At 38.6% G+C, this 12,737-nt stretch overlaps 1 protein-coding gene across 11 annotated transcripts in view; it reads left to right on the top strand.

Annotated features, from left to right (window-relative positions):
* Positions 1-12,737, top strand: part of NSUN7 (NOP2/Sun RNA methyltransferase family member 7) — a 61,230-nt gene that overhangs the window by 20,880 nt on the left and 27,613 nt on the right. For 9 of the 11 annotated variants that reach the window (XR_007057964.1, NM_024677.6, NM_001330648.3 and 6 more), the window contains 3 exons: positions 3,431-3,583; positions 3,933-4,116; positions 5,215-5,425. Coding sequence is in view for 10 of the 11 variants with exons in the window: in NM_024677.6 (NP_078953.4) it covers positions 3,431-3,583; positions 3,933-4,116; positions 5,215-5,425 (548 nt within the window). In the remaining variant the exon portion in view is untranslated. Of the gene's footprint in view, positions 1-169; positions 2,405-3,430; positions 3,584-3,932; positions 4,117-5,214; positions 5,426-12,737 lie in introns of those variants that run through there. The other 2 variants (XM_047416174.1, XM_047416173.1) reach the window with 2 other exon arrangements.

Genomic DNA, 12,737 nt, shown 5'->3' on the forward strand with positions numbered 1-12,737 from the left:
GAGGTCAAGAGATCGAGACCATCTTGGCCAACATAGTGAAACCCCATCTCTACTAAAAATACAAAAATTAGCCAGGTGTGGTGGTGTGCACCTGTAGTCCCAGCTACTTGGGAGGCTGAGGCAGGAGAATCTCTTGAACCCAGGAGGCGGAGGTTGCAGTAAGCCGAGATTGCACCACTGCACTCCAGCCTGGTGACAGAGCAAGACTCTGCCTCAAAAAATAAAAAATAATAAACTGAGGAAAAATGGCATATTAGTTAAGATGATTTTTTGCAACTGACAGATTCTGCAAAAGAGGGACTTTAAGATCATTTATGGAAGAATTGAACATGAGGCTACAGGAAGGGCGGTGATGTAGCGATGCTTCTGCTAAATAGAGCCTGTGACTCCAAAATCATCAGGACTCTAGTCTCTGCTTCTCTGTGCCTCCATTCTCTTATCATTCTATATTTCCAGGATAAGAAGCTTGGCTGCCAACAACTCCCTAACATGGGAGCTACATTTTATAGTACCAAACACTGGAAAAACTGGCTTGACTCTCTCTTTCTACCTCCAAAAAATCTCTGTCTTTCTCTCTTTCTCTTCTCTCTCATGCACGCCAGTTGGGCTTGAACTCTGCAATCAAATTACCTGAATTCAGATAATTGAGAGAGAGAGAATATGGAAGAGAGAGAAAGAGGAGATGTGACATGGCATACCATAGGAGTGGCAAATAGTTCAGCACATGACTGACGATAGATTTATGGATGAGAGTGATGGGAATTGAGACAGGAAGAGTTGGTTCAGGTTGAGCTATTAAGATCCTAGAATATCCTCATAAGGAGTTTAGATTCTGTCCTGTGGCTGGTGGATTTCATCTAAAATTTAAGCTTATATAAATATATATTTATAATTATATAATTATAAATATATAATTATATTATTAATATTTAATATCATAAAGGAAGCTCTGACTGTGTGTGTAACTGGGATGATGGTAAAAAAGATAATCAGGCAGCTCTCTGTGATAACATACAAACTGTAGCAGAAAAAGGACTTCTGGATCAAGAATATTGGGAAAGGCTACTTTGCTACCATTTTCATCATTGCAGTCCTCCTTATTTAAAGCTATGGAAGAAGCTTTTTTTAGTAACCACAAGATAGCATACTTCATCTACAGAAGTATAGGTCTGGTTATTTTAAGAACATATGGATTTGATCTTTGCCCTAAGTCTAATATAGTATCTTTACATAAAAATCTGTATAACTGCATGTACACTTTATTTTTTGTGGGATTAAATTTTGTTAAAAATCATGGTCCAAAATGTTTACTATCTGGAAAATTGGAGATTTATTTCTCCTTACACTCCTCCCGTATACACAGCACATGTATATTTCTCAGCTTCATATTTTTAGTCTTTAATGATTGAATAATTCAGTAATATCATTTATCATGATAAATTTGAACTAAGTAGGTATTTGCAAGTATTGTTAATAAAAAATAGTCTATACTCAGAATATCTCACAATGTATAATATAGAACAGTAACTCACCCCTTTTACATTAATTTATTTTTTGAGGTGCATTAATGTACTATGTCATTTTTTTAGTATCCACTGCCATAGTTCTGTGACATTTAGACACAGAATTAGACAAATCTAATTTTATTGTAGTCCCAAAAGGCTTAATGTTTGATCACCCTTCCCTTTCCTTACCAAGTTCCCCTATCTTCTCTCTCTCATATACATACACATAATATTCCCACATAAACAATTTTTTTGGGTGAGATGTTCTCATTCTATTGAGTAGATAAGAAATGTAGAATAAGGACACTGCAGGCATGAAGAAAAGAAGTAGGGATTTAACAGTTGGTGCTAAAAAAATAACAGAGATGCTCATTTACTACCCCTCTTGTCCTGGCTCCCAGCATTCTTTGAAACAATTTAGGTGGGCCTGACAGTAATTCCCTGAAAGTGTGCTCCCCTTCTGTACCACCCACCAACCACAACTCAGATCGTATTTGACTGTTTTGTGACATCTCTTCTTATTTCTCACTCAAGGTTATACTTGAGGTTGATTTCAGTTAGATTTCTACTGTGAAAATGCTATGAATATGGGTCAGGAATAAGTCCTGTGTTCTCATTCATTAAAAATTTGGGCTATGAGATCAAGAAAAATCATTGAGCCATCATGGTGATGCTAACCAGTTCTTGTTTTTCTTTTGTGATTTGGAATTTTGAAGCATGGGACATTCAGAACTGGGAAGGACTTAATACAGACTCATGAAAGTTCTTTAATCTTATCAAGACTATACTGTTGCCATCTGTGATACTGATAACTAGCCTATAATGAGTGCCTGCTACGTGCCAGGCACTGCGCTAAGAATTTTGCACACATGATTGATAATCACTACATTAATAACAAGGTAAGTTGACCACCTTTAACAGATGAGACAACTAGGCTGAAAAAGGAGATTAAGTAACATTCCTGAGGTTACACAGCTAGTAAGTGATAAAACCTGGATTTAACTTCAAGTTTGTCTGACTCTAAATCCTAGACCCTTCTCAATAAATAAAGTTTGTCTTTCGGCTGGGTGCGGTGGCTTACGCCTGTAATCCCAGCACTTTGGGAGGCTGAGGCGGGCGGATCACTTGAGGTCAGGAGTTTGAGAACAGCTTGGCCAACATGGCGAAACCCCATCTGTACTAAAAATACAAAAATTAGCTGGGTGTGGTGGTGCACACCTGTAGTCCCAGCAACTCGGGAGGCTGAGGTAGGAGAATTGCTTGAACCCACAGGGCAGAGGTTGCAGTAAGCCAAGATCATGCCACTGCACTCCAGCCTGGGCGACAGACGGAGACTCTATCTCAAAAAAAAAAAAAAAGTTTGTCTTTCAACCAGTAATTAATACAATAGTTAAGAAATTGCTGCACAACTATACAGGGGCAGCAAAAACAGAAAGAAAGAAATCAGGATTATTGGATTTCTATTTTCTTTTCTTTTTTGAGACAGAGTTTTGCTCTTGTTGCCCAGGCTGGAGTGGAGTGGAATCTCGGTTCACTGCAACCTCCGCCTCCTGGGTTCAAGTGATTCTCCTGCCTCAACCTCCCGAGTAGCTGGGATTACAGGCGCCCGCCACCACGCCCGGCTAATTTTGTATTTTTAGTAGAGATGGGGTTTCCCCAGGTTGGTCAGGCTGGTCTCGAACACCTGACCTCAGGTGATCCACTTGCCTCGGCCTCCCAAAGTGTTGGGATTACAGGCATGAGCCGCTGCGCCTGGGCTTGGATTTCTATTTACAAATATGACACATTTTTATTTTAGACTTCAAAAATTTGAAATAGAATTGTTATTTGTTAAAATTCTAAATGTAATTTTTTAGAGTTTCCAGTGGAAAATTGATAGTCTTGTCTCAAATGCAATAGATTAAGGATGGATTTTCTGTCTCTAGTTTTAAGATAAAATTGGCTGCAGCATTGGCAAGATGTCGAATCAAGCATGATGCCCTTTCAATTTACCACATCCTTCCAGAAACAGTTAGGAAACAGGAACTAAGGGCCTCCACTTTACCACTTTATGCTTGGATAAATACTTGTAAAATCAGGTAAGTGTTTAAATCAAATTCTTTATATTTCAAGTCTCCATCCTTTTAAAATAATGTGATGAGAAGCATTACCTTTTTAAGAGGTGGGGGTGGCACATCTAGGGGAGTGATTAGGGAATCAGAGTTAAGTTCCAGAGCTTATGACCAAATTACCAAAGGTAATTACATAAATATGTTAACTTCTCTGCCTATAATTATCTTTTAGTTTATTGTTGGTTAAAATTGTTAGTTCCATTAGATGTAATGTATGAAGTGATATTTTTCTTTGTTACAGGAAAAAGGTGTTAGTGTTAAGGACGTTTTTAATGTATTATATTTGTAATTACAAGCTAATGTTGTATATTTACAGCCCTGAAGAAGTTTATAATAATTTGAAGAGAAGAGGCTATAATAAAGTCAAATCTGTATTGCATATTGATGATAAAGTCTTTGCTGTGGATCAACATTGCTATGATGTCTTAATTTTTCCATCTCATCTTAAAAATGATCTTATAAATATAGATCTTTTCAAAGATTACAAACTTATATTTCAGGTAAACTAATATTTACTTTCATTGTGATTCTCAACAATCCAACCTAGCCAAAGAACTTCTCCACTTAAAAATAAAACCTAACACTGTTTATATTTTTATAGATTATCAGGGAGGTTTATAAGGCCTAATTGTCACCTTGAATAAAATTAATACCTCTACAATCAGTGCATCTGGTTGGCGTCTTTGTCTCATGTGAATTTATAAAGAACATATTCTTCTCCCAGATTCCATGAATGGGAAGATTTGCATTGCTGGCAGCTGTAAGGTTCTACTTTTCTCCCCTAAAGGAGAATTCAAGAGAAAGTACAATGAGACCTTTTCTTCCTTCCCTTTCTGGGGAAGATGCTAGTGCCATCTTGCATATGAAAAAACAATTGTAATAGTTTTTCATAATTTCTTTAATATAGTCTTATAGCTTTGATTTGTAAGAGGTATATAAAGGCTATCAATATAGGAAGAGAATGTGAGGTATAATGTAGTTTCAACAGAACGAAAATAAAAGGTATAAAAAAGTAGTTTAAATTCATTTTTACATCCTTAGATTCCAATTATTGCCTCAGATATACCTTGATCTTCTAAGGTTTATCCCTTTTCCACATTCATATTCTTGGGCAGAATCTCTTACCATATCAAGCACTGAGATCAACTGCAGAAGCCCAACCTGTCAAGCCCCCTTTGATGAGCTTCTCAAATATATTAATTTTAATCTCTGTGAGCTAGTGGCAATTTAGGTGACAAGGTAATGGGGAAGAGAAAATGGAAGTAGTAGATGAGTGGGTTTTTGTGAAGGGGTAAGAATGGGAGTTAAGATAGGACATCATTAATCTGTTGACCATATTTTAGAGATTCTGGCATTGCTTTATACAAAACTTAGACAGTAACAGTCATAATTTAGGCTAAACAAAGTTAAGCTCTTTGTTTTAAACATCAGTTGTCTTTGTTAACTCTTTACTTAGACATATATTAAGATGTTAAAACTAAAATTGGTTAGGTCTCTAATATTACTATGAGGTACTTTCTTTTATGTAAAGCAAATAGAAGTCAGCTTATATTTCTAGCCATACCCTTTGAAATTCTAATCATACCATTATCTTACAGGACAAATCTCGAAGTCTTGCTGTCCATTCTGTAAAGGCTTTATTAAATATGGATGATGATGTCTTAATGGTCAATACAGGCTCATGGTACACAGTTTCCCACATGTCAATTTTAACAAATAATAATACCTCAAAAGTATTTGTGTGTGGAGTACAATCACAAGCTAAGGATCCTGACTTGAAGACCCTTTTCACAAAAATAGGATGTAAAAGTATGTAAAAATATTTCTTCATTTGGTGATTATTGTTCTGCAAGATTTTAGAAACGTTAAAAAGTTTTAATTTATTAGTTTTTTTGTAATGTAAAAGCTCTATATGTGAACTAATATCTTAAAATCCTTACTAATCTATGTCTTATCAGGCTGTCCTTGTTGCTTAATTTGGTTAAACAACTGTGGGTTAAATTAATTTCTTGGTACTTTGTAATACTGTTTGACATTTAGCTCACATAATTTGAGGCTCAAACATTTAAAGTAGAAATGTATCATTTAATAAATAAGAATGATTATCATTTAATAAATACTTAAATAAGTGCTTAAGTGACAAAGATAATATCTAGGACTAGAAGCTAAGTCTTTTTTTTTTTGAGATAAAGTCTTACTTTGTTGCCCAGGCTGGAGTGTACTGATATGATCACAGTTCACCACAGCCTCTACCTCCTGGGCTCAAGAGGTCCTCCAACCTCAGCCTCCCAAGTAGCTGTGACTACAGGCTCATGCCACTATGCGTGGCTAATTTTTCTAATTTTTGTAGAGCCAAGGTTTTGCAGTGTTGCTCAAGCTAATCTCAAACTCCTGGGCTCAAGTGATCCACCTGCCTGGGCATCCCAAAGTCCTGAGATTACAGAGGCGTGAGCTACCAGGCCTGGCCTAGGAGCTGTCTTTTAGGCTTCTTGTTTTTTAAAAATGTTTCCATTGGATCATTCTAACTAAAGATTACATTTTATTATAGGTTCAGCGAGGCTGAAAAACTAAGCAAAACTTTTAACAGATTCACAGGGATAGGGAGACAAAAAGTGGAATTCAGGATTTGACCAGGAGAGGTAGCCTGGTAAATACTCAGGATTTCACTTGGAGTCCCGAAGTACATCTTGGATAGTGATCAGTCCTCCAAAGAATTAGAACCCCCATTCCAGTCATCTTAATTCCCAATTAGATTAAGGTGATCTGGGATTGCTAGTGCCCAGTCTTAGCTGCCTGCCAGAAGCAAAAGTAAATTCCCTCTGGAGGAAAACAACATCATCCTACATTTCTAATTATCTTCTAATTTTTTTCATTTTTTTAAATTTTTTTTTATTTTTCTGAGATGGAGTCTCCCTCTTGTTGCCCAGGCGGGAGTGCAGTTGGCACCATCTTGGCTCACTGCAACCTCTGCCCCCCGGGTTCAAGCGATTCTCCTGCCTCAACCTCCTGAGCAGCTGGGATTACAGGTACTCGCCAACATGCCCCGCTAATTTTTGTATTTCACCATGTTGGCCAGGCTGGTCTCGAACTCCTGACCTCAGGTGATCCACCCATCTTGGCCTCCCAAAGTGCTAGGATTACAGGCGTGAGCCACCGCACCCGGCCTGTATCTTCTAAATTTTTTCTAATGCAATATCTACCACTCAATTTTATAAAACACTGACAGAACAAGAAAAGATATGACTAAAACAGAAAGCACTGCAGTAGAAGCAGACCCACAGTGTATCTGGAGATACTGGATTTATCAGACGTGGACTTTAGTTTTACTTTTTTGAGACAGGGTCTTGTTATGTTGCCTAGGCTGATCTCATACTCCTGGGATCAAGCAATCCTCCTGCCTCAGCCTCTCAAGTAGCTGAAATTACAGGCAGGTGCCACTGCACCTGACTAAAAATGTACACTTTAAAATAACTATGATTAATAAGCTGGAGGGACTAAATGTCAAATTTTAGAATTTTAGCAAAGACCTGGAAACTATAATCAAAAAAGCTAAAAGAAAGTTCTAGAACTGAAAAATACAATGTGTGAAATTAGGAAATAAATGAGATATGGATTTTACAGTAAATTACACAGAAATGAAGATACAATGAGTGAACTGATAGGCCTGAAGAAAATATCTAGACTTAAGCATGGGGAGACAAAGGATATGAAAGAGGTCATAAGACACACATGAGACTCAGTGATTCAGTTATCTCATGTGTGTGTGGAATTGCAGATGGAGAGGAGAAAAGGAATTGGAAAGAAACAATATTTGAATTTCAGGCTGAGAATTCTTGAAAGTGGATGAAAGACATTAAGCCACAGATTCAAGAAGCCTTGTAAAAGTCTAATCAGAATACATGGAAAACATATCCTATGGCCTGAATATTTGTATCCCCACAAAATTTGTATGTTAAAATCCTAACCCCCGAAGTGATGGTATCAGGAGGTGGGGCCTTTGGGAAATTGTGAGGGCAGAGCCCTCATGAATGGGATTAGTGCCGTTACGAAGGGGACCCCAGGGACCTAGGTAGCCCCCTTTCACCATCTGAGGATACAGCAGGAAGGCACTATCTGTAAGAAAGCAGGCCCACACCAGACACTGAATCTGCTGGTGCCTTGATCTTCAACTTCCTAGTCTCCAGACTTGTGAGAAATAAAATTCTTTTGTTTATAAGCTACTCATTCTATGGCATTTGTTGTAGCAGCCCAAACAGACTAAGGTAACATATTAGGCATACCATAGCATACCTGCTGAAAACCAAAGAGAAAGGTATTGGTGAGTAGCCAGGGAGAAAATACATATACCATCAATGGAATAGCAATAAAATTAAAAACTAACTTTTCAATGGAAACAATTAAAACCAGAACCATTAAACAATGTCTTCATAATGCTGAAAGAAACTGCCAGGCTAGATTTTTATATCCACCAAAAATACTCTTTGAAATAAAATAAAATAAAGATATTCTCAGACAAATAAGATCTGAGAGTTTGTCACTAGTAGACACAGTAAAGGGAATACTAAAGATACATGGTTTGGGTAGAAGAAATTGGAGGCTGGGCACAGTGGCTCATGCTGGTAATCCCAGTGCTTTGGGAGGCCAAGTTAGGAAGAGGCCAGGAGTTTGAGATCAGCCTGGGTAACACAGTGAGACACTGTCTCTACTAAAAATAAAAAAAAAATAGCTGGATGTAGTGATGTGCAGCTGTAGTCCTAGCTACTCAGGATGCTGAAGTGGGAGGACCACTTGAGCCCAGGAGTTTAAGGTTACAGTAAGCCATGATTGTGCCACTGCATTCCAACCTGGGTAACAGAGCAAGACCCTGTCTCTGCCAGGCACTGTGGCTCACGCTTGTAATCCCAGCACTTTGGGAGGCCGAGGCTGGCGGATCACAAGGTCAGGAGATCGAGACCATCCTGGCTAACACGGTGAAACAGCGTCTTTACTAAAAAATACAAAAAATTAGCCGGGTGTGATGGCAGGCGCCTGTAGTCCCAGCTACTCATGAGGCTGAGGCAGGAGAATGGCATGAACCTGGGAGGCGGAGCTTGCAGTGAGCCGAGATTGCGCCACTGCACTCCAGCCTGGGCCACAGAGCCAGACTGTTTCGAAAAAAACACTCTGTCTCTAAAAAAGTGGAGATGCTGAAAGAAATGAAGAAAAATACAAAAGTTAAGTACATAGGTAAATCTAAATGATTATAATCTAATGTTTAATGGGGTTGCAAATTAATGTCTGCGGGACTAAAGATATTTAATGTTATATGCAATTAAAATAAATTACAACCATGACATATAATTTTAGAGGAAAGAAAAATAGAATTAATGTGTCCTATGGTTTTTGCTTTTCTAGGAAGTGGTAAAGTAGTATATTAAGTCAATGATGTTTGCTATAATTTCTGGGACAATGAGTAACACATAATAAAATAATGTATAATGAATAGTTAAGGGGGAGAGGAATGAAATATAGAATTGGAATATGAGTCTAAAAAAAGATTAAAAAGGAGAGGACAGGTGTGGTAGCTCATGCCTGTAATCCTAGCACTTTAGGAGGCAAGGCAGGAGGATCACCTGCGGCCAGGAGTTCGAGACCAGCCCGACCAGCATGGTGAAACCCCATCTCTACTAAAAATACAAAACTTAGCCGGATGAGTGGTACAGGCTTGTAGTCCCAGCTGCTTGGTAGGCTGAGGCATGAGAATCACTTGAACCCCAGACGCAGAGGTTGCAGCGAGCTGAGATCGCGCCACTGCCCTCCAGCCTAGGCAACAGAGTGAGACTCCGTCTCATAAATCAATCAATCAATCAATCAATCAATAAAGGAGAGAAGACCAGGCACAATGGCTCATTCCTGTAATTCCATTCCAGCACTTTGTGAGGCTGAGGCAGGTGGATTGCTTGAGCCCAGGAGTTTGAGACCAGCCTGGGCAACATGGTGAAACCCTATTTCTATCAAAAATACAAAAAATTACCCAGGTGGTAGCACACACCTGTGGTCCCAGCTACTCAGGAGGCTGAGGTTAGAGGATTGCTTGAGCCCAGGAGATCAAAGCTGCAGTGAGCCATGATTATGCCACTGCGCTCTAACCTGAGTGACAGAGCAAGACCCTGTCTCAAAAAAAGAAAAAAAAAAGGAGAGAAAGGGGACATAAAAAAAGCAAGACAAATAGCAAATAGGATGGTAGATTAAACCAAATAACATATATTTAAGCTTACATACATTATATACATATGACATTAAAATATTATGTAAACATTGAAATACACACACACACACACACACACACACACACACATACACATATATATATATATATATATATTTTTTTTTTTTTTTTTTTTTTTTGAGACGGTGTCTCGCTCTGTCGCCCAGGCTGGAGTGCAGTGGCATGATCTCGACTCACTGCAAGCTCTGCCTCCCAGGTTCACACCATTCTTCTGCCTCAGCCTCCCAAGTAGCTGGGACTCGTGCCTGCCACCACACCCGGCTAATTTTTTGTATTTTTTTAGTAGAGACGGGGTTTCACTGTGTTAGCCAGGATGGTCTTGATCTCCTGACCTCGTGATCCACCCGCCTCGGCATATATATATATATGACACAGTCTCCCTCTGTTGCCCAGGCTAGACTGCAGTGGAGCTATCTCAGCTCACTGCAACCTCTGCTTCCCAGGTTCAAGCAATTCTCATGCCTCAATCTCCTGAGTAGCATGCACCACCTCACCCAGATAATTTTTTTGTATTTTTAGTAAAGACATGCTATGTTGGCCAGACTGGTCTCGAACTCCTGAGCTCAAAGTGATCCACCTGCCTTGGTCTCCCAAATTGCTGGGATTACAGGTGTGAGCTACCATGCCTGGCCTAAAATATTATACATTAAACACATTTAAAATACATGGGCTGAATACTTGAAAGTCAATATTGGATTTTTGTTTATTTCCTATTTGTTTGTTTGTTTTTTTCTTTTTGTTTTATAGAGACGGGGTCTCGCTCTGTCACCCAGGCTGGAGTGCAGTGGGGCAATCTCAGCTCAATATAAATTCAACCTCCTGGGCCCCATCGATACTCCTGCTCAGCCTCCCAAGTAGCTGGGACTACAGGCATGTGCCACCACACCTGGCTAATTTTTTTATTTTTTGTAGAGATGACATCTCACTATGTTGTCCAGACTGGTTGTGAACTCCTCGGCTCAAGCAAGCCTTCTGTCTTGGCCTCCCAAAGTGTTGGGATTACAGGCATAAGCCACTGTGCCCGGTCAGTCTTGGATTTTAAAAGATCAACTAAATGCTGTTTACCAGAAATGCTCTTAAATAAAAGGATACAAAAAAACTTCAAAGAACAGAAAAAGATATGCTGTGTGTATGCTAATAAAAAGAGCTGCAGACAAATAGATTCAAGTCAAGAAACACTGCTAAAAATGAAGAGAGGTATTTATAATTATGAAAGGTTTAATTCATCAGGAAAATATGACAGTACTAAAGATATATGTACCTAATAACATAGTCCTAAAATATATAGAGAGTAAAATTGTCCAGAACAAGCAAACCTTCTCTGTATACAAAAAATCCAAAGGAATCAATGAATAAACTATTAGAACTAACAAATTAGTATATAGTAAGGTTGCAGGATACAAAACGAATATATAAAAATCTATTGTATTTCTATCTACCAACAATGAATAATCTAAAAAATGAAAGAAAATCCTTTTTATAACATCAAAAATAATAAAGTTCTTAGCAATAAATTTAATACAAGAAGCTCAAGACTTGTACAATGAAAAACTACAAAATATCACTTAAAGAAATTAGGAAGCTGGATGCTGTGGCTTATGTGGGAGGCTGAGGTGGGTAGATCACTTTGAGCTCAGGAGTTCAAGACCAGCCTGGACAATATGGCAAAACCCCGTCTCTATAAAAAATACAAAAACAAATTAGCCAGGCGTGGTGGCTTATGCCTGTAGTCCCAGCTACGAGGGAGGCTGAGGCTGGAGAATCTCTTGAACTTGGGAAGTAGAGGTTACAGTGAGCTGAGATTGCACCATTGCACTCCACCCTGTCTCAAAAAAAAAAAAAAAGAAAAAAAGAAAAGAGAAATTAGGGCCGGGTGCAGTGGCTCACATCCGTAATCTCAGCACTTTGGGAGGGGCTAAGGTGGGAGGCTCACTTGAGGCCAGGAGTTCGAGACCAATCTGGCAACGTAGCAAGATCCCATCTCTACCAAAAATTTAAAAATTAACCAGCCATGGTGGCACATGCCTGTAGTCCTAGCTACTTGGGAGGCTGAGGTAGAAGGATCACTTTAGCCCAGGAGTTCAAGGCTGCAGTGAGCTGGTTCATGCCACTGCACTCCAGCCTGGGCAACAAAGTGAGACCCTGTCTCTAAAAAAATAAAAAATAATCAAGGAAGACATAAACAAATGGAAAATATTCCACGTTTAAGGATCAGAACACTCAATATTAAATTGATCTACAGATTCATTGCAGTTCTTATAAAAAGCTTAGCTGAGCTTTTTGCAGACATTGACACACTGTTCCTAAAATTCACATGGAAATTTAAGGAACCCAGAATAGCTAAATGAGTCATGAAAAAGAACAAAGTTTATAGGACTCACATTTCCTGATTTAAAAGCTTACTACACAGCTACAGTAATCAAGAAGTGTGATGCTAGCGTAAGGGTAAATGTATAGATCAGTGGAACAAAATTGAAAGTTCAGAAATAAACCCTTACATTTATGGTCAGACTTTCAACAAGGTTGCCAAGACCATGCAGTGGGAAATGAATAGTCTTTTCAACAAATGGTGCTGGGACAACGGGATAGGCACTTGGAAAAGAATAAAATTGGATGCATATCTCAAATCATATACAAAAATTAACTCAAAATGGATCAAAAATATAAGTGTTAGAGCTAAAACTCTTATAAGAAAACACAGGTAAGTTTTCATGAGCTTGGATTTAGCAGTGGTTGTTTAGATATAACATCAAAAGCACAAGCAACAAGAAAAAATCGATAAATTGGACTTGATTAAAATTAAAAACTTTTGTGCTTCAAAGTCACTATCAAAAAACTGAAAAGACTGGCCAG

This window comes from Homo sapiens, chromosome 4, assembly GCF_000001405.40.
Source record: "Homo sapiens chromosome 4, GRCh38.p14 Primary Assembly".
NCBI classification, from domain to species: Eukaryota; Metazoa; Chordata; class Mammalia; order Primates; family Hominidae; genus Homo; species Homo sapiens.